The 22,481-nt window shown below is 39.1% G+C and overlaps 1 protein-coding gene across 13 annotated transcripts in view, besides 3 other annotated features; it reads left to right on the plus strand.

Moving 5' to 3' along the window:
• Positions 1-6,158, plus strand: part of AFF1 (ALF transcription elongation factor 1) — a 206,029-nt gene extending 199,871 nt beyond the window's left edge. For all 13 annotated transcript variants that reach the window (XM_005263007.4, XM_047415702.1, NM_001166693.3 and 10 more), the window contains one exon: positions 699-6,158. In XM_005263007.4, coding sequence (XP_005263064.1) covers positions 699-820 — 122 coding nt within the window. In that variant the 3' untranslated portion in view covers positions 821-6,158. The remainder of the gene's footprint in view (positions 1-698) is intronic.
• Positions 16,137-16,186: a silencer, noted in NCBI's record as "silent region_15555". NCBI's record gives its function as "represses an Ori minimal core promoter by ATAC-STARR-seq in GM12878 lymphoblastoid cells {active_cell/tissue: GM12878}" and the evidence as "EXISTENCE:reporter gene assay evidence [ECO:0000049][PMID:35858748]".
• Positions 17,543-18,043: an enhancer, noted in NCBI's record as "H3K4me1 hESC enhancer chr4:88073576-88074076 (GRCh37/hg19 assembly coordinates)". NCBI's record gives its function as "activates a minimal SCP1, AML or CMV promoter by ChIP-STARR-seq in naive H9 embryonic stem cells {active_cell/tissue: H9 hESC(naive)}" and the evidence as "EXISTENCE:reporter gene assay evidence [ECO:0000049][PMID:30033119]".
• Positions 18,044-18,544: an enhancer, noted in NCBI's record as "H3K4me1 hESC enhancer chr4:88074077-88074577 (GRCh37/hg19 assembly coordinates)". NCBI's record gives its function as "activates a minimal SCP1, AML or CMV promoter by ChIP-STARR-seq in naive H9 embryonic stem cells {active_cell/tissue: H9 hESC(naive)}" and the evidence as "EXISTENCE:reporter gene assay evidence [ECO:0000049][PMID:30033119]".

Here is a 22,481-nt window from a genome sequence, read left to right on the forward strand (position 1 = left end):
GCTGAGTTTCTGTGGCTAGATCTTAGCAAAACCAAAATACAAGTGGCTTTAGCGCCTTGCCCCTTCTGAAGCTCTGCTGTCATTACTTCAGCCTGAGCTGAAATGCTAGCTGAAAGGCAGGGCAAATGAAGAAGAGGAGCCACTGGCTGTTCCTAGGCCCAGCACATTGGAGATACAAAGTAGCATAACCCAAATACCGAGATTATTTGTTTTTAGTATATGTTAAGAAAGATAGTAGCTATGGTACGAGAGATACAGCGTAGTAAACATTATTGAGACTTGTTTGGGGAAGAAGACCCTTGGAGAAATGCAAGGTTCAGGAGAGTTGGAGCCAGCTGGCTGTAACTACTTACTTTCGACATAGAGCCTCTTAGGGCCTTATCTGTCTTATCAAACTGATAATGCTTTTAACTTTTTTTTTTCATTAATGCATCCTTTGAGGCAAAGGTATAAATTTGGTGTTTTCCAAGTGCCAGCCATTGTGCTAAGCATTATGGATTCAGCTCTAAAGCAAACCTGGTTGGTAGTCTAGTGGAGAATTAGCAAGCAATTACAGTAGATTGTGATTTTTTTGATGTGATTAAGTGCAGAATATTGTGGGGACCTACCTTCTGGAACCTTGAATTTTTGTTTCCATTTTAATTTTTGTGTGTGCTTGTGTATTTACTTGTTTTTGTTTTGTTTTGTTTTTTTTGCAGAATTCTTTGCTCGGCTCAGCACAAATGTGTGCACCTTGGCCCTCAACAGCAGTTTGGTGGACCTGGTGCACTATACACGACAGGGTTTTCAGCAGCTACAAGAATTAACCAAAACACCTTAATGGAGCCCCAGGTTGATTCAATGCCTTGGGAACTATTTTTGCACATTGGAAGCCTCAAAAACAGTCCAGACATTTGTTTCATCAGGACACCAAACTCTAAAAAAGAAGCACCACGAGATGGCCAGGACATTTGTCCACTTAAACTCTCAACAACAGTGTGATCATTGGTTGGACACTGTGGTTATGCAGAAGCAGAGATGAGGAGGCTGGCCCCAGAGATGATCTTGCCCTTCCTAACTAAAGGACAGAAGTGCAATTTAGCTTAAATGGGTGTATGAATGGTCTAGAAACATTTCTATTTTTTTTTTAAACCAGCAGGATACAAGTTGCAAATGAAATGAGGAGAAACAGTTTCAACTCTGAAAGTGAATTTCACGTCATCTCAGTAGCCACGCTAGTCCATTCCCAGAAGGAAATTTTTTTTTTTAACAATGACTTTTGGTAAAGGGTTTTGTGGATGATTTTTTTTCTTTTGAGTTTTGGGAGAAATATTTGTTTAGTAACTTCTAATGGCCATCTGTAAACCATAAGTAATGAAGGACTCCACTGTGCCCCACTTTCTGCCAATGAACAGTGGCTTGATAATACCAAGTATTGTTGTAATTTATAAAATTGAAGGCAACCCCCGCTCCTGCCGCCCCCAATCTCCCCATTGCCTAGAGCGCTGCACATTGACCCCAGCTCTGACTTCTCATTACTGTGCTGAAAGTCAGCCCACGTCGGAGCGGTGAGGAGGAGCCACAGCACATGGGGTGCCACCTCGAGGTCTGCACAGGAGGACTTGGCGCTGCCATTTCCTACCCCTGCCATTTCCCACCCCTGCTTCAGCGAAAGGGACTCTCTAACAGGGCAGTCACTGTTGACTCTATTCTGAATTTCCTCCCTTGGGGAAGAAGGGAACCAACATTTATACCTGACCAGATGGCTAAAGTGCTTTTAAAGTTTTGTTTAAGTAGAGCTGGAATTTGAGGTGCTGATCTGTGGTCTACAGTTATGTGGTAACTCATGTTGTCCAGCCAACTCAGAGTTTCGTCAGTGAACAAGAAACATGAAATCTGCTTCTTAGAGAGGCTATATTTTTCTGCTACAAATATTTTATATTTATAGCAAAACTAGACTTTCAGAGTCCTTGATTGTCTAGGGGAAGTTAACTCCCTGAGAGGATGTAGAGATTTGGGGTGGTTGATTAGACTTTTGAAAAACTCATCACCACATGCCTTCACTCCAGAGTGTTCTCAGCTAGATTTGATTTGGTTGAGGAGGAACTGTGGCCCTCCGTAAGTTATTGCCATAGTGTATGCATTAAACCAAGTCCATTTTGAATGACCTAAAATGAAGTAACACAATCAGAAATCCCATGTGCCCATAAGCACAGATTTTTCTTTTTCATTGAAACTTTAAAGGTTATTATTGGAAACATTACTTTGAGTGCAGTGTTTTTAAAAGCCAATTCTTTTTTATCCCTTTTAGAAGTAGAATTTGCACACTTACTACAATTGAGGAGTGTCATCTCTATAACTTTTTCTCCGCCTTTGTCCCATTCTGCCCCTGTACATGTTTCCTACCAAGCATGTTTCACATTTTCCTATTAGTGGAGGAGGGAGAACCATATTTATTTATAATGAAGACATCTAAGATCCCTATGATGAATGCAGGAACTCTCTTGGTAGTTTGTAAATACACAAAGGGATGTGTCGAGGGATGGGAGCGATGCTTATCTCTCACAGTGTGAGTGGTCTGTGTGAGGCTGTTCCTTCAGTTTCTTCTCCAGACTGTTCTTTGGTTGTCACTAAGTCAGAGGTCTGGTCCCTCATGTTTAGGTGAAAGCCAGAGAATGACAGCTGTAGTCATATCTGAGCATAAGACCTTGATGTGTGATTCCTGATGACCGGTTTCATTTATTCATGTTATAAAGCAAAGCCCTGGTCCTTTTTAAACTACTAGTTTTAAAAACCTGTGTTAAATGAACAGTAATTGCCTGGTAGGTTTGGTGTGTGTGTAGCATTGTGTGTCCATCTGTTATATGTAAAGGACAAGGCACCAGAATCAGGCTTTATTTCGATATTGAAGATGTTATTTAACATCTTTCTTTTTTCCTTACTCCCTTAGCCATCCCCTCCCCTTTTGTCCTATCATTCCCTAGAACAAGCCACCTGTCAATTGTGAAGGGTTGTGTTCTTTATGGCAGGTTCTATGCAGATTGTGCCAGAGCATGTGCGTGTTCTGTTGGCAAGCCACAGTGCTCCCTTGACTGAAGACATTTCCAGGTAGATTTCTCAGCCAGCTCTAAAACAGATTGCTTTTTCAGTGGCCTTACTCTTTGTGGGTTTTTTTTTTTTTCTCTGAACTTGATATAAAGATTTTATTTGTCCCTTGAAAAAGTAACAAATGTGCATAGATCAATTTGTACTACTTTGGTCATTGGATATTTCTGATCCTTATTGCATTGTACCTAAAGGAGAGTAACTAATGGTAACCTTTTTAATAGAGTATGTGAAAGGTAGTGGCTGATGAATCCTTAACGTTCATAGGGTCTTTTTGCTGTTACGGTTGTATATAGAGGTCTGAAGGATTTTTAAAATGATTTGCACTTTTTCACTGCATGCTTACAATTCCCAAAGGCAAAATCTGTACTGAGGTAGATCATTTGAAAGGGCTAGATTATAAAATTAAGCCTTAGAGTATGGAAAGTTCTTATAACAATAATAGTACACACTTCAGAGTAAGACAAATGCAAAGCATCTTAAGGAGTGAAAATAGAGTGTAAATCTTGCCTTTGGCACTACAAGGTGTGTGTGTGTGTGTGTGTGTGTGTGTGTGTCTTTAGTAGGAAATGGAAGAACACTGTTTTATTTTTTAAAGTGTTTAATGTTTCTGTCCTTTCTGTGAATTATTGAATTTAAGAGCCCTGCTAAATAATGAAAAAACACTTTACTAAAATTTATCAAATTATACTGGGTTCGGATTGTGAAAACATTGGCCACCTAGTAGCAGTGGTGAGGAGTGGGAGGGCCCAGCAAGCATTTATCAGAAATAGAATCACAATAGGAGGAGAATTTGACTGTCTGATATTATGATTTGATTACAATACTGAATGGGAAAAGTATCTAATATTTTGTAACAAAAAGACCTTCATATTATCTGTTTTGACCAAAATATGTAGCTATTTCCCTTACACAGATTGGACCGCACTTATCTCCCTTGTCCTGTATCCTTTAATTTCAGGTCTCAGGATGTTTAGAAAGCTAAAACCCCCTACCCCTTTCTGGCTGAAAACTTGCCTTATTTGGTATCTTACACATTAATGTTACTAGCATCAGGAGCTTACTGTTTTATTATGATTCATCTTCAGTAATTTTTAGAAGCAAGAAGAAAGCCATTGTGTCCTCTACAATTAACAAAACTTATCTCTGATATACAAAGGGATATAAATATATACACTTAAATAGAGAAAAAGAGGTTGATTGAATTGTGCCTTTGAGTGAACCCAGTTTTTAAATACCGCTGTGTTTGTTTCGCCATGGCTTCAGGGATGCTACATGGCTCTTGCACCTTTTACTCCTCTGCTTTATGAAGTTTGAGTTGTATTTGTGCATCTTAAAGTAGGTTGAGGCTTGAGGCTGGGCTTTCGGGTTTTTTTGTTTTTTGTTTTGTTTTGTTTTGTTTTGTTTTCTTGTACTTAAACCTGCTTGCTTCCTACCACAGATTCTTTATTTTCCCAAACACTACAAAAAAACTTTTAAAACTTTGCCATTTCATCTGTTTACACTCTTTGCCACTGATTAGCAGTATTTAAATCTTGCAAGAATATTTTGTGCTTTCTTTAGAAACACAAGAGTATAGATTTTTCTCACTGAAAAGTGAGAGTTACGCATTGCAGCCATGAAGGGATGCTAGGATCAATTATGGCAGTACCTTTTTTCCCCTCCTGTTCTTGAGCCAGTTGTCTCTTTTGTTTTGGGTCCCACTTAGGATTAATGGATGTAAGGTATTTTCCTGTGCCTTTATTTTGTGTCATTCTATTGGAAGGAGGTGTAACGGCAGAATAGCATCGTGTTGGGGGTTTTCCTTCAAACACTGCAAGTGATATTGCCACCATGTGAACCTCAAATATGCAATCCAGTTGTGTTGGTTTCTCGGTGACTTGGAGTGTTCATCTCTTCATGAATTGTGAGCACTGACCATGTTCTTCAGTTCTTAATTATGGTGAGTTGACAAATACCAACTACTGCTTTTCTTTAGGTGGCTATAAATTTCTTACTGTCAGGAGGAAATGACATTATATTCTGTTCCACTGAACGTCAGAGATCAGCAGGCACTGTACTGGGTAGAGAAGTGCCTATACTTCTCTACCTAAGAGGGCAGGAGGGAAACCCTACAGCTCCTTGTGAGCCTATATATTAGTATATCGGCCTGGAGAGGACAAGGGAATAAGACCACTCATAGTGAGGCTGGCCAAGCTGCACTGGTCGGACCAGGCAGTGGCTGACCTAAGGAAGACAACTTGCTTTGCTTAAAAGTAGATTTTTTAAGCAATGCTTAACACAGGCAGCATTCACCTTTGTTCAGGCCATCGACATGTATTGTTAAAATTACTGCATATCCCCCTCAGATATCAAGTATACACTGTTCATGTTGGGGTTGTGTGTGTGTATGTGTGTATGTACGCACGCATGTGTCCCAAATCTTGTTTTAATTTTTTTTTTCTGAATGTGATCATGTTTTGGATGATACCTGAGCAGGGTTGCCTTTTTTTTATTTATTACCATTATATATTATATTATATTATATTATATATTTTTTGCTTTCTTATAACTTTGGAGGAAAGTCAAATCTTGGTATTATTAAAATTGTTTTAAAAAGGAGTAAATTTTCCAGTTGATAAATGAAAATCACTGGCCTATGTTTAATAAGTTTTTCTTTAATTACTGTGGAATAACGTGCCAGCTATCATCAACACAATGATTTTGTACATAGGGTAGGGAAGCAGTGATGCTCTCAATGGGAAGATGTGCAACACAAATTAAGGGGAACTCCATGTATTTTACCTACTTCAGCAATGGAACTGCAACTTGGGGCTTTGTGAATAAAATTTAGCTGCCTTGTATAGTCGTTTGAAAGAATATGTGATCTGTGAGAGAATTATAGTTTTTTTTTAGAAGAAAAATCTGCAAAAGATCTTTCCAAAGACAATGTGCCACAGATCTTTTGTTCTCTGTAATGAGGATTAATTGCTGTTTAAACAAAAATGTAATTGTTCATCTTTAAATTCTTTCCTTTTCATAAGAGGATCAAGCTGTAAAAAAACAAAAAAATTAATAAAAATTTCGAGAAATCATTGGGGTTGAATCCATGCTTTCTCTTTACCTGAATACAGTTAATTCCTAATACCATTATGTGAAATTGCCATCTATAGCCAAGGAGTTTCATGTGAGCAATGTGTCCTTATTCGCAATATTTATTGCTGGAGTGGAGAAAGAACTGGGTTCAGAAGGCAGCTTATCCTTCTGTTCAGTGGATCTCGCTAAGATCATAATCGGACACAAATTGGCCTAACATCACCAGTGTGGCTTCTTATCCTAACATCAACTGGAGGGTGTAGTAGTGACCAAATTTGCCTATTTCCAAATTTGCTGGGTAGACAGGTTTGTAGAATGTTGGTATTGAAAGGAATCTAAAGGTTATCTGGCCTTTTCACCCTTTGCCACCGTTAAAGAAAAAATACTCTTTGTGATTTCATGAAATGGGAAAGGACCTAGGTGCTGAAATCTGACTTCCTTGTGTTTGAATCTGATTTTCTGGTTTGCTAATTATGTGACCCTTGGTCAAATTAACCTCTGCATTTCTCTTTTACAGCTGTTGAAATGGTATCCACCCAGTAAGATTGCAGGGATCACATTAGATGATGCATTGAGATTGCTTGGCATGGTGTGTGGCGTTATGTAATCACTCAGAAACCAGTGGCTATTTCATTTCCTCCCCTTACTGCACTGCCATATCCCAGCTGCTGACCCTCCAGCCGGAACACTCACTGCCTTCCTCTTCCTTTTTAATTTTTTGTCCTTCCAAACGTTAGATCAGTCTCCACTTGTACTAGTTCTAGTGAACAAACATGGACCCAACCCCTGTAAATTTATAGTGAAGTTGAAAAGTCAACAGTAACTGTTGTACAAGCCATGCAATAGCAAGTTTGGGGAAAGGGAGTGTTTTCGATCTGATTGGGAGAAACTACGGGGAAAAGAATCTACTTTGAACTAGGGCTTGAAAAACGGGTCTCAGTCGTCAAGTCTCTTCTGGGTGTTTAACCTTTTTCACCAAAACTTTCCATGTCATATCTTGTATAACTTAGTAGTCCAGGTATGGTGGTGCCAGTTTAACCTTCTTGTTAATTGTTTCTAATCTGGGGATATTATAAAGAATGTTTCCATTTGGGGAAATTTTTGGGGAAATTCAAATATTTTGAATTTGGGATATTTCTTTGGAATTCCAAGAAGTGGATTGTATAGTGAAAACATTCATTTTTCTTCTTTTTTTTTTGGAAAATATTCAAGCATATCCTGAAAAAAATACTGTGTATACATGTATTCCTACCACCTAGATTCAACAATTAACATTTTACCATATTTTTTATGTAAATGTGTAGGTGTGAACACTTAGGCTGAATAGTGAGTTGCAGACATATTTCACCCCTAAAAGTTACAGCATGCATCTGTCAGGACACTTTCCAAAGTAGTCACAATACCATTATAGCATCTAAAGACATTTCTCAATGCTTAATGTTCAGTCCATATTCAAATTTCTGTAGCTGCCTTCAAACTTACCTTTTTGAACATGGCTTCAGCTGTTTCATGCATTACATTTAGTGATTATGTCTCTTTAGTCTTGAGAACAATCCTTCCTTCACCCCCCCCCCCATTTTTTTTTTTTTTTTTTTTTTTGAGACAGGCTGTCACCCAGGCTGGAGTGCAGTGGCACAATCATAGCTCACTCTAGCACTCAGTCGATCCTCCCACCTCCACCTCCTGAGTAGTGGGGACTACAGGCACATGCCATCACGCCCAGCTAATTTTTGTGTTTTTTATAGAGAGACTGTTTCACCATGTTGTCCAGGTTGGTCTTGAACTCCTGGGGTCAAGTGATCTACCCTGCCTAGGCCTCCCAAAATGCTGGGATTACAGGTGTGAGCCACCACGCCCAGCCACCCCCACCTTTGTAATGTCCCCCATCCTCGATTTGTCTGGTTCCCCCAAATGTTCATTAATTCATTCATCTCCTATATTTTCTATAAACTGCAAGTTCAGTCTAGGGGTCTGATTATATTTAGCAAGAATCCTTCACAGGTGATGCTGTGGGCTTCATACTGGATCACATCAGGAGGTAACTAAAATGGTTTTTATGTGTGATAATAAATTTGAGTCTTTGGTTAAGATATGATCACCAGAACTCTCCTTTAAAAATATGATCTTTTCCCTATCCCCACAACCTTTCACTTAAGTGATTTTATTATAGCACGCATTGATGATCCTTGCTAAAAAGATTACTTCATTGGGAGTTAAAGAATGGGAAGAGTATATTTTACAGGCTCTTGTTATTGTCAGATAACCCATAGAAAACTTTTATCGGCCGGGCACGGTGTCTCACGCCTGTAATCACAGCACTTTGGGAGGCTGAGGCGGGCGGATCACGAGGTCAGGAGATTGAGACCATCCTGGCTAACATGGCGAAACCCCATCTCTACTAAAGATACAAAAAAATTAGCCGGGTGTGGTGGTGGGTGCCTGTAGTCCCAGCTACTCGGGAGGCTGAGGCAGGAGAATGGCGTGAACCCGGGAGGCAGAGCTTGCAGTGAGCCGAGATCGCGCCACTGCACTCCAGCCTGGGTGACAGAGTGAGACTCCATCTCAAAAAAAAAAAAAAAGCTTTATCACATTTTCAGAGTATCTATTTTCCTAATCCTTTATCTAACCTGGGTATTATGTTGGAAAAGGGGAAAGGGAAAAGTCACCGAACTTGATAGGTGGCAAATGGTGTCCCTGGTGTGTTTTATTCCATGATAGAGTATTTTTCCCTCACATTAAGCTGCCATTTGCAGTGCATGGGTTATGTGACTAGTATTCTAGACCCAGTTCAAATGCCCATCTTGGTAGATGGGGGGAAACCTGTTTTCACCAGTTATATAGATTGAGTTCACCACTCGGAAGGGTTCTGCTAATAAGGAAGGGGATGCTGAGCAGTAAAGAAAAGAAAGATGATCCACCAGGCTGAAAAATGCATCTTTTTCCTTTTGATTTATGTATTTAGAGGATATTAACCTTTTGTTAAGTATTTCTCTCCAAATTAAGTTTTTTATTTGTATTATGCTGGGCTTTAAAAAAAAAATTTAAGTCGGCAGTGTCCTTGCCGACTTTTGATGTCTCCATAAGGTGCATACAGACTATTTCCCAGATGCTGTACAAGGCAGTTTTACTATCACTGAATACTGGCAACTACTCTGTGAGGTTAAAGTGGTAGTCTCCCTTTGTGTTATTGTATTCGCAAGTATCTAGGCACTTTTGGAGCCTGCATTATTTGAATAGGTACTGGCTCACTATTTGCCAGGGTTGTCAGGAATGTAAATGGTCACAATCCAGGCTACTTTTAAGTAAGTCATCTAGGTGGTGCTTAGAACCCTCAAATCCATTCCAAATAACTTTGAAGCCCCATGTGTCTTTACCAGAATATAATCGGAGGTTTATCTGCTGTTACTTTGGTAGTGATTAGATAATTGTACTGTCTAGTCTGTTTTGTCTGAGGAACAGGACTCTTTCAGCGTTTGTGGTTTTCCAGTAGACCACACTCAGCTGAAAGCAAGACTGTACTGAGACACCAAGGCTCTGATAATAAGGGACTTTGCCCTTCCAACAGACTGAGGGCAGGCCTTGAAATGCTCTTTGAACACACAATTCTATTTTAGCTTTAAAAAGACCATGTGCCTCCCCTGGATAAGTGCTTTAAATCACCCTTCTCTATTATGGAGGCCCAGTCCTAACATCTCATTTACCTTATTTCATGTGTAGGAGGAAGAAACAATTACAGGTTCTGATATCTTCACTGCTAACTATTCCTATAAATTATCCTCTAAGAAACACTACCAACCCCTTCTCAAAAAAGGTGCATGAGCACATATTTTCTTAGGAATACTCACACTACTGGATGTGGAAAACCAGTCGTGCTCAACTGAATGAACTACAGAAAAATGCCTTTAGTTTTCCATCTTTGAACTACAATCTTTGAAGAAACTCCTTGTGCAGGTAAAACTTGGTACCCAGGACTGCAACTGAGGAATTCACAATCTCAAGGGAAGAAGCAAGTGATCCTGGTAGAGTGGTTTTAAAGAGCTTCCCAAGCTTACATATACACGAGAATGTAATTTTTCCATCCTATTTTTAAGCTGATTTACAAATAAATAGTAAAACAAATTACAGTTAGCCTTCCATATCCATGGGTGCTGCATTGGTGGATTCAACGGAGATAGAAAATATTCAGGGTGAAAAATTCCCACGAAGTTCTAAAAGACAAAACGAATTTGCCATGTGCCAAGTACTGTGTTGCATCCACGCGAATGAAGTGATGTGTAGTTATTGTATTGGGTATTGAAAGTAATGTAGAGATGATTTATAGTATATGGGAGGATGTGCAGAGGTTATATGCAAATATTGTGCCATTTTACAAAGGGACTTAAGCATCCATGGATTTTGGTATTTGTGGGGATCCTGGAACCAACCCCACACTTATACCAAGGGACAACTATATAGAGGCATACAGAGCAAAAAGTGAAAGGGCAAGTGTACTTCCTCCCCAGATTCTACGGCCATTAAGTTCGTGCGTATCTATCTTTCTACAACTTTTCTGTGCATTGTTTTTTACACTGTGTATCAGTCCTTTTTCAATGTCCAGCATATTTTGGCTACAAAGTACCATGTAATAAGATATGCCACCATTTATTTAAACATTTTCCCATTATGGGCACAAGTCACTCCTCCCCACAATATTCTGTGGTTACAACAATGTACTGAAGGAATCGTAGTACACAACATCTTTGTACATTCTTACAAGTATTCTATAGGATAAATTCCTGGAAGGGAAATGTCTGGGTCAAAGCATAAGCTAAATTTTAAATTTTTGATGTTACAGGCCGGGTGTGGTGGCTCACACATGTAATCCCAGCACTTTGGGAGGCTGAGGCAGGTGGATCACAAGGTCAAGAGATCAAGACCATCCTGGCCAACATGGTGAAACCCTGTCTCTACTAAAAATACAAAAAAAAAAAAAAAAAAAAAAAATTAGCTGGGCGTGGTGGCACGCACCTGTCCTCCCAGCTACTTGGGAGGCTGAGGCAGAAGAATCACTTGAACCAAGGAGGTGGAGGTTGCAGTGAGCCGAGATTGCGTCATTGCACTCCAGCCTGGCGACAGAGCCAAGACTGTCTCAAAAAAACAAATTTGATGTTACCAAACTACCTTCCCCACCAACTGCAGATGATCTTACATTTTTGCCAGTCGTGAGTGCAGTGCAAAAAACAAATCTTACAGTACTTTAATTGCATTTATCTGACAAATGAAGTGAACCATTTTATCACAAGTCCATTGGTCATTTGTGTGACTTTATGGATTGCCTATTCCTGTACTTAGTTCATTTTCTGAGATTGTCTTTTGCCTACTAGTTTGTAGAGTAAGAAGGTTGTACAAGGTTGATTGCCTCCAGTCAACTGCATGACTCTTCCTGAGTTTGCTCCACTGCCTACACCTCAGTAGGTATCACCTGTGAGCTGCTTACAACAGTTCCCACCTTTACCTTTCTTCTTACAAATGCTACAGGAAAAAATGATCAATCCTTGAGTGAGACTTTATGTGTGTCACCAACTCAGGATCTTTGGCATTTGAAGCTCCACTAATATCTTTTTACTACTTGTCCAAGCAAATGATATTTATTCTGGATAAAGTGGAAGCTGTTTAACATTGGCAGTTTTGAAACCCACTGAATGAATATGAATTTCATCATGGATTGTCTTTATGGCCTAGAGAGATCAAATCTAAAATTGTTTGCCAAATGTCAGTCCTGAACTTAACTATAGTCCTATTAACCTGATATTTGCTTATCTTGAATGAAGGTTAAAAAGAGGAGACTGGTTTCTTGTCCTTGTGAAATTTACTCACATCCAATCAATAGTTTCAGTGATTCCTTTGTGTAAAATTACATGCTTCAGTATGTGTGTAGGCATTAAAGCATAGGTTAGGGTGCCCAGCTCCTGGATGACATGTCTCTACCCAAGTTACAGGTAACTTGAGACCTGGTGTTTTTCCATTCAACTAGCCATTGTCTCTGCTTTCAGCCATTCCTCTTAACACAGATGTCACTATTCTAAAACTAGCACCCTGTGGACCCACTGTTCAGATTATTTCAAGCTTGAGAGCAGAGCATAAGCCAGTTTATCTGACAGGTGGAGGACAGCACTCCTCTTGTACCTATGTATTTGTCTGGAATTCCCCACAGCAAAACAGAGTCAACCAGCATTTTCCCCTTTCCTACATCCATGATACATTCCCGTCATTATAGCACAACACTGACCTAAAAAAGTAAAATTGTGGAGAAGGGGAAAGAAGTATATATGAAGCCACATGCCCTACGTACCTTCCATTGCTTGTACTTTGAAACCATCTTTCTTTCAAATTAGTCATTATGCTTTACAGATGACACGTGAGCCCAAGATAAGTACAGTCATCCCTTGGTATCCATGGGGGATTGGATCCTGGATTTTCCCCCATACCAAAATCCAAGGATGCTGAAGTCCCTGATATAAAATGGTGAAGTATTTTCATATAATCTACACACATCCTCCCCTATACTTTAAATCATCTCTAGATTACTTATAATTCCTAATAAAATGTAAATGCTATGTAAATAGTTGTTACATTGTTTAGGGAATGACAGTATGAAAGTCTGTGCCTGTTCAGAACGGATGCAACACCATCCCTTTCGCCACCCCCATGCCCTCAATTATTTGCAATTCACAGTGGGTTGAATCCATAGATGCAGAACCCAACAACAGAGGGACAACTGTAATCTGTCCATGGTTAGGGAGCCAGTAAAAGGTGAAGCTCAGATGATACAGATTTGTCTGACTTCAAGTTACGAAGGGGGTTTTGCTTGTGAGAATAAACTAGTGAAAATGTGGTTTTATAAGTTGCTTTAATGTAATCTGCAGCCAGTCTTAAACACTGTTACCATTTAACCACTTTTGGATTGTACTATAGACAATTAGACAGGTAATAAGACTGGACTGTTAATAGGCCTTAGAGGCTTTATAAACTGGAGCTTGAGAAAGAAGTCCTAAAAATCTGCAGTGATTAGCAACTCTTCTAATGCATCATTAGAAGCACATGGGGGATCACCCCATCCAATGCTGCTTTCCATGTTGCCCTGTGGATTTTCTCCATTTACCAGCACTAGTCAAGACACTAGTGCACCTCTAGTGACAGCTAAAATTGATAGTTTTTCTTTCCTTATTTGCATGAAGACATGTATTAATAAATAAAAGTTTAATAAAACACAAGTAAATGTTAGTGTAACACACATTTCAAGAAATGAGCATAAAGTAAATGTTTTTAAGTCATGAATAATGTAAACTAAGCTTTAATGGGTAAAATCCCAGGAAATAAGAAATAGTAACTGAAACAGGCAAGAGTATAAATTCCCCCAGGGTCCTCCAAGTTTGAGAGTATAGGGGCAGAATAAAACTTTAATTCTGAAGCTAGTGACCCTGAAGTTTGAATGCCTTGGCCCCCTCACCTGCCTTACACTGTCCAGGCAAAACAGCCAACCAGAAATAAAAAATATGGCACTGAATTACCATCCTTTACCTTGCACAAGTTACATGAATGTCTGGTACTATATTTCCTCATCTGTAAGAAAAAAGGAAGGAGTTGAAATATGATATCCTGAAGTGTATGAGATAAAGATACTGGTAATCAAATATTTCCCTGTTAAAGATGGTGTATTAAAATCTAAAAAGATACACAGAACTTATTAAAAAGACCACTGTCCTTTAAAATCATCTTGGTGGTTTCTTCACATGTATTACCACAGTTCAAAACAAATTTACAACAAAATTATTTAAAACTGCCTTCAGGGCCCAGCATAGTGGCTCACGCCTGTAATCCCAGCACTTCGGGAGGCCGAGGTGGGCGGATCACGAGGTCAGAGGTTTGAGACCAGCCTGGCCAACATGGTGAGACCCTGTCTCTACTAAAAATACAAAAATTAGCCAGATGTGGTGGCACACACCTGTAGTCCCAGCTACTCAGGAGGCTGAGGCAAGAGAATCGCTTGAACCCGGGAAGCGAAGGTTGCAGTGAGCCTAGACTGCGCCACTGTACTCCAGCCTGGGCGACAGAGCAAGGCTCTGTCTCAAAAACAACAATAACAACAACAAAAAAAACTGTCTTCAGAACTATGTGCAAGCATAGGTACATCCTATTTATTTTATGGTTGCTTTTCTACAAAGAGTTAAACAATACTATCCACATAAATAACTCATCAGACTTGGCTCCAAAACACAATTGCAAAAGACAGAGGATAAAAATGTGTCCCTATTAGATAATTTCAGTATCTACCTAAGTTGTTTTCTTTGGGCAATGATGGCAGCACCATTGGAGTAAGTTTAAAACCTCCATGTTAATTCTTTAAAAACCAGTATTCAGCCAGGCGCGGTGGCTCACACCTATAATCCCAGCACTTTGGGAGGCCGAGGCTGGAAGATCACCTGAGGTCAGGAGTTTGAGACCAGCCTGACCAACATGAAGAAACCCCCGTCTCTACTAAAAATACAAAATTAGCCAGGTGTGGTGGCGCATGCCTGTAGTCCCAGCTACTCGGGAGGCTAAGGCAGGAGAATTGCTTGAACCCAGGAGGCAGAGATTGCAGTGAGCCAAGATCGTGCCATTGCACTCCAGCCTGGGCAACAAGAGCAAAACTCCGTCTCAAACAAACAAAAAAACCCAGTATTCATAGTGTCAACATTTTATAGGTTCTGATACATGTTTAAAAATTATCTTAATCTCCTTCCTCATATCCAAAGCTTACCCCCTAGACTTGGCTAAATGTTCTCTTATCCTAATCTTTATACTCCCTTATCCACCTCTAACTGATAAGTGGAGTGGACCATACTTACTAAGGAGTGGAATCACTGTGTACCCAATGTCACATACAAAAATGCCCCCTCCTTCCCCTTACCTCAAATTGAGTAAAGCAGTAGGTCAACCATAGGCAGTCCCATCCATCAGGCTCTGCTATTCTGTGTTCAGGCGTAAAATACACACATGTATACATGTGATTTCATAGACATGTCAGGACAATAAAATGCATTGTTGGGTAATTTGGAAATCTAAAGCCTAAGAGCTCAGGGAAATTTCACATATATACATTCTCTCCACTTTCTAAAAAATAAATGACATCACCTGTGTGAGTGATAGCTTTAAAGCAAAAACTTCTTATGTTAAATCATTAAATGTTTGCTTCTACTACCCTAATTTCCTGAAGCCACATCTTTTTTTACTTACCAAATACACATGCCTTAAATAAGTAAATCCCTGGCCAGGTTCCTTACTTAGCTCAAAGTTTTAACTTTTTTTTTTTTTTTTTAAACATGCATAGTGTTCTGTCCTTTCAGCAGAGCCCTAGGAGCAGCCGAGACCTAGTCTCCTAAATTTTTACAACTCTCCATAGGCATATTTACAAGGTGTTACCTGAAAATACCAACAAGCCACCAGACACATTTGTGTCCAATTCATTAAAAAGAATTTATATTCATTCCACTAGTAAAAATGATTTATTCCTCTGGCTCTGATTTGAAAGGATGTAATAGGTTTGAGTAAACAATAACCATCTCTGGCCTTTTTTCCCCTTCTTTGTAGGCGTTAGCCACTCTACAGGTCTAAACCCTTGTTATAGCAAAAGATCTTAGTGCATAAAGTGGATAAGATCTAAAGCACACAAATTTAGTTTTGACTATAATGTACCTCTTGGGATTATGTAAAAGCCACAGCCAACCAGCTCAGCTCCTGGGTATTATTAATAGTAGTAATGAAGTAAAACATTTTGAAACTGGACTCAAATTGTGTTCAGTGTGCTAAACCAGGGATGCTGTGAAATGAATGTAAATTTTAACAAGCCTGTTCTGAGCTTTAGACTTCTCATTAGTGCCCCTTTCCCAAGTGTAATGTGCAGAATGAGCCACTAGAGGGCAATCATTTTCTTTAGGAAAAAGATGCTGTTTGAAAGCACTGTACATTCATTTAACCACAATGACACCATGTCTCACACCCAGGAGAATGGATATAATCAAAGGAAAAGGCAATATCAAGTGTTGGAGGGGACAAGGAGCAACTGGAAATCTCATATGTTGCTGATGGAAACATATGGTACTGCCACTTGGATAACAGTTTGCAGTTTCTTAAAAAGTTAAAATCATGTTACAATAAAACCCAGCAATTCCACGTATATGAAACTACCCAAGATAAATGAAAGCATATGGTCAATTAAGATATGTTCATGAACATTCATGGCATCACACATAATAGACAAAAATTGGAAACAATCCAAACAACCATTATTGGTGAATGAATAAACAAAATGTGATATATGCATATGAGGGAATACTATTCAGCTATAAAAAATTCTACACTATGGATGAAGTGAACCTCAAAAATATTATGCTAAGTGAGAGAAGCCAGATGCAAAAGATTAAATATAGTGTGTGATTCAATTTATATGAAATACCCAGAAAAGACAAATTTATAGACAGAAAGCAGATCAGTGGCTACCTAGGGTGAAGAGAAAGGAGGGGAGGAGTGGGGACTGACTGCAGACAGGCTCATGAGAATTTCAGGGGGATGATGAAAGTGTTCCAAATCTGGATTATGATGAGGCTGGCACAATGCTACAGGTTTACTGAATCACCATGTACACTTACAGTGGGTGAATTTAATATAAATCATACTTCAATAAAGCTAACAAAAAACACACTGATTTAGCACTGCATTAGAATAGGTACTGGGAAATGAAACAAGTGAAAGAAAGAAAACTAGAGCACTGTGTATTAGAATGTAATACAAATAGCCACTATGTCATTCGGTCCTGAGCTCTGGCTTTTCAGACAGGAAAAAAGCTCACTGTTTGCAAACAGACTAGGGAAATTTAGGAATTTATGATCAAGTAAGAATTTTATTACTTTTGGCCAAAGGCCATTACATTTGTTACATTAAACAGAAACATTTGTTTAAAAAGGAAGGTTGTAAAGTTTCAAGCAGAATGCAATTATTTTCTGACTCTCCATCAGTACTTTGGAGTCATATTTATGAAGGGATTTAAAACACATCAATGTGCTAAGGGTCTGATGTTATATAAAATAACTAATAACTTGAGATATTCAGGGCAAAGAGAGACACTTGAAGTGACAGGCATATCCATACCAAGTAATTTTACATTTCCTGAATTATCCTTTTATAAACTAGTTTAAATTTACTTAAGAAACTTCAGGTATAATAATATATGAGATCAAAAGGCTCGTTCTGGCCTGTAATCCCAGCACTTTGGAAGGCTGAGGCAGGAGGATTGCTTGAGCCCAGCAGTTCATACCAGCCTGGGCAACTTAGCAAGACCTGTCTCTACAAAAATATCAAAATTAGCCGGGCATAGTGGTGCGGGCCTGTAGTGCCTACTACTCAGTAGACAGAGGTGGGAGAACCACTTGAGCCCGGGAGGTCAAGGCTGCAGTGAGTCATGTTCACGTCATTGCACTCCAACCTGGGCAGCAAAGCAAGACCCTGTCTCAAAAAAAAGAAAGCTCTGTTAAGGTCTATAAGCAGCAGTCTCCAACTTTTTTGGCACCAGGGACCAGTTTTGCAGAAGACAATTTTGCCACGGACAGGGCAGGGGTGGGGACAGGTGGTTTGGAGATGAAACTATTCCACCTCAGCTCATCAGGCATTAGATTCTCATAAGGAGATTGCAACCTAGATCCCTCACATGCGCAGTTCACAATAAAGTTTGCTCCCCTATGAGAATCCAATGCTGTCATTGGTCTGACAGGAGGCGGAGCTCAGGCAGTAATGCTCACTGGCCTGCCGCTCACCTCCTGCTGTGCAGCTCCGTTCCCAACAGCCCACGGACCAGTATTGATTTGAGGCCCGCGGACGGGGGCCCCCTGGTCTATGGAACGTCTTCAACACATAAATTTCAGAGGAGGCTAGTGGTACACAAGAGAAAAATTAGTGAATATTAAGACAAAACTATGTCTTTTCTTTGGCTTCTAGAATGGTAGTGGTTTATGGGGTTATAAAAGACAAGATCATCCAAAGGGCTCTCCCATTACTATTAGTTCCTAGTTCAATTATAAACAATATACTTTTAAAAATGCTTTACTGGGCTCTCAAGAAAGCAGGGACACTGAAAGGCCAATATAAGAGATGGAACCTGAGCAGGAGTGGTAACTAAACAGGAAAACCAAAGTTGCCCTGAGGACAAATGCCATTATCAGCGCTGGGACTGAGAGACCAAGTTCTGGACCCATAGCAAAAGGAGGAGCCAAGAAGAAAGCTAAAATGCCCCAGGTCAGTTTTGTTCCCTAGCCTAGAGACACAAATGTGAAACCTCTCTGAAGGAGCACATTCCCAATTAAAGAACCTCTGGATTCTCAACAGGTTCTACTAAATATATATTTACAAATAAAAATCACCAAACACAGGAAGAATGACATACCATAAGGAAAAGTTCAACAGAGACAATAAACAGATTTAGACCCTCAAGGGACTTCAGATATTGGAATTACTGGCTACAGGATATAAAGATAACTATGTATGAAATGCCCAGAGAAATAAAAAAGATAGAAACCAAAGAAACAGAGGAAGTCTAGCCAGAGCAATTAGGCAAGAGAAATAAATAAAAGGCTTCCAAATTGTCGCTCCCCACTGAGAATATAATCTTACATCTAGAAAAGCCTCGACTCTGCCAAAAAAATTGTTAGATTTGGTAAATGAATTCAGTAAAGTTGCAGGACACAAAACTAATATACAAAAATCAGTAGTATTTCTATACGCCAACAATGAACTAGTGGAAAAAGAAATCAAGAAAGCAATCCTATTTACAATAGCTCCCCATAAAAATAAAATACATAGGAATAAATTTAACTGAGGAGGTGAAAGATGTCCATAGCAAAACTATAAAACACTGATGAAAGAAACCGAAGAAGTCATAAATAAATGGAAAGACATTCCATGTTTCTAAATCAGAAAAATTACTATTGTGAAAATGACCATAATTCCAAAAGCAATCTATAAATTCAGTGCAATCCCTATCAAAATACCAGTGTCAGTCTTCACAGAAATAGAAAAAAAAAAATCTTAAAACACACATGAAAGTACAAAAGACCCTGAATAGTCAAAGCATTCCTGAGCAAAAAGAGTAATGCTGGAGGTATCCATACTACCTGACTTCAAAAGATACTATAAAACTATAGAAACCCCAATAGCATGGTACTGGCATAATAACAGACACACAGACCAATGGAACGGTAAAGAGAACCCAGAAATAAATTCACATATTTACAGTCAACTGATTTTCAACAAAGTGCCAAGAACATTCAGTAAGGAAAGGACAGTCTCTTCAATAAATAGTGCTGGGAAAACTGGATATCCATATGCAGAAGAATGAAATTAAACCCCTATCTCTTACCATATACAAAAAGCAAATCAAAATGGAGTAAAGACTTAAATGTACGACTTGAAACTATGAAACTACTAAAAGAAAACATTGGGGAAACACTTCAGGACGCTGTTTTGGTCAAAGATTTTTTGTGTAGGACTTCAAAAGCACCAGAAACAAAAACAAAAATAGACAAATGGAATTACATCAAGCTAAAAAGCTTCTGCACAGCAAAGGAAACAATCAATTGAATGAGGAGACAACACACAGAATGGGAGAAAATAATGTACAATCTCTCCATCTGACAAGGGATGAATATCCAGAATACACAAGGAATTCAATTCAATAGCAAAACAAAACAAATAATCTCAGGTCTTACGGGACAATACAGAAAAAAAAAACACAAATAATCCACTTTAAAAATGGGCAAATGATCTGAATAGACATTTCTCGAAAGACACACAAATTGCCAGCAGGTATATGAAAAAATGCTCTACATCACCAATCATCAGAGAAATATAAATCAAAACCACAACAATATCTTACCCCAGTCAGAATGGCTATTAAGATTAAAAATAACAGATATTGGCAAGGATGCAGAGAAAAAGAAACTCTTATATATTGTTGGTGGGAATGTAAACTAGTACAGTCACTATGGAGATTTCTCAAAAACTAAAACCAGAATTACCATTCGATCAAGCAATCTCATTACTAGGTATCTACCCAAAGGAAAAGAAATCAATACATCAGAGGGATACCTGCACTTGCATGTTTATTGCAGCACTATTCACGATAGCAAAGATATGAAATCAACCTAAGTGTTCACCAGTGCATGAATGGATAAAGAAAACGTGGCATATGCACACAATGGAACGCTATTCAGCCATAAGAAAAAGAATGAAATCATGCCATTTGCAGCAACATGGATGGACTGGAAGTCACTATGTTAGGTGAAATAAGCCAGGCACAAAAGACAAATATCACATGTTCTTACTTACATGTGGGAGCTAAAAAATTTGATCACATGGAGGTAGACAGTGGAAAGATAATAGAGGCTGGGAAGGGTGAGGGCAGGGGACGGGGGAGGATGAAGACAAGTAGGTTAAAGAGTACAAACATATAGTTAGATATAATTAAATTCAATGTTTGATAGCAGAGTAGGGTGACTACAGTTAACAAAATCATAGCTGGGTGATGGACACTCTAAATACTCTGACTTGATCACGATACATTATATACATGCAACAAAATTTTACATGCAACCTATCAATATGTACAAATTTTTCTAAAAAGCTCAGCAAACTGGAACTTCCTTGCTCTGACAGAGTAGCAAAACCAAGGAAGATTCAATATTGTAGCACTGTCAATACTCCCTAATTAATCTTTAAATGTGATTCTAGTTGAAAGAAAGAGAAAGAGAGATAGGGAGAGAAAGGAAGCTGGGCACAGCGGCTCAATACCTATAATCCCAGCACTTTGTGAGGCTGAAGCCAGGAGGATCGCTTGAGGCCAGGAGTTCAAGACCAGCTGTGCAACATGGCGAGGCCCTGTCTCTACAAAAAATTTAAAAATTAGCTGGGCCTAATGGTGTGCACCTGTGGTCTCAGCTACTTGGGAGGCTGAGGTGGGAGGATCGCTTGAGCCCAGGAGTTTGAGACTACAGTGAGCCATGTTTGTACCACTGCACTCTAGCCTGGGTGACAGAGTGAAACACTGTCTCAAAAAAAAAAAGGGGGGGGGGACAGAAAAAGAAATTTCCTACAGCTATTTGCTTTTTATCCCCAAGGAATTTTACAAACTGATTCTCATACTGAATTTAAAAAGCAGGCCAGGCATGGTGGCTCATACCTGTAATCCCAGCACTTTGGGAGGCTGAAGCGAGAGAATTGCTTGAGCCCAGGAGTTCAAGACGAGCCTGGACAACACAGAGAGGTGGGGTGGAAGAGTGGAGGGAGGGGAGGCAGGTGGGGGTCGTGGGGGTGGTGGATCACCTGAGCCCAGGGAGGCTGAGGCTACAATGAGCCATGATCATACCACTGCACTCCAGCCTGGGCGACAGAGCAAGACCCTGTCTCAGAACAACAACAACAAAAAACAAAACCAGAAGGCCAAGAACATTCCTTAAGAAAAATACAAAGGTAAGAGACTACCCTTGTCAGGTATCAAGACATATAATCAAGTTATAACAATTAAATAATGTGCTACTTGGCCCTTGCTTAGGCAAACTGACCAATGGAACAGAACAGGAAGTCCCCAAATAAACATTTGGCTACAATGGCAAATTTCCATGTAAGTAAAGCCTCTGAGGAAAGGATGCATTAGTCAATAAACGGCGCAGGGAAAACTGATTTTCTACATAGTAAAAAAATAAAATTTTAAATCTATATCACACATACACAAATCAATTCCAGGTAGGCTAAAAACTTAACTGAGACACTTTTTTGATTTTCAGAAGCAACATTGAGCAACTATGACCCTGGGATAGGACAAATTTCTTAAAACATAAAAATAACTCACGTTTGAAAATATTAAATTTTGTTTACAAAAAAACCCAAAGTGAAAAGCTACAAACTGGATGAAGATATGTGCAAGAACAACAAAAAAACAACAAAAATATCAATATCCTAAATACAAAAAACTCTTAAATAAGAGCAAAAACAGAAAAATAAAAGACATCAAGACATATTTCACAGAACAGGAATGACTAATAAACATGAAAATGTTTTTAACTTATTAATCAGAAAAATGCATGTTTTCTTTTATAGTGAAGTGAGTGCTGTCACATTCATAAGGAAAATGCAATTTAAAGCCACAATAAAATACCATTTTACACCTAACAGATTGGAAAGAATTGGGTCTTATGATAGCAAGTAAATAAGAAACCATACTGTAAAGCGGTGCAACCAGTTTGGAAAACAATTTG

Source organism: Homo sapiens, chromosome 4 (assembly GCF_000001405.40).
Source record: "Homo sapiens chromosome 4, GRCh38.p14 Primary Assembly".
Classification (NCBI taxonomy): domain Eukaryota; kingdom Metazoa; phylum Chordata; class Mammalia; order Primates; family Hominidae; genus Homo; species Homo sapiens.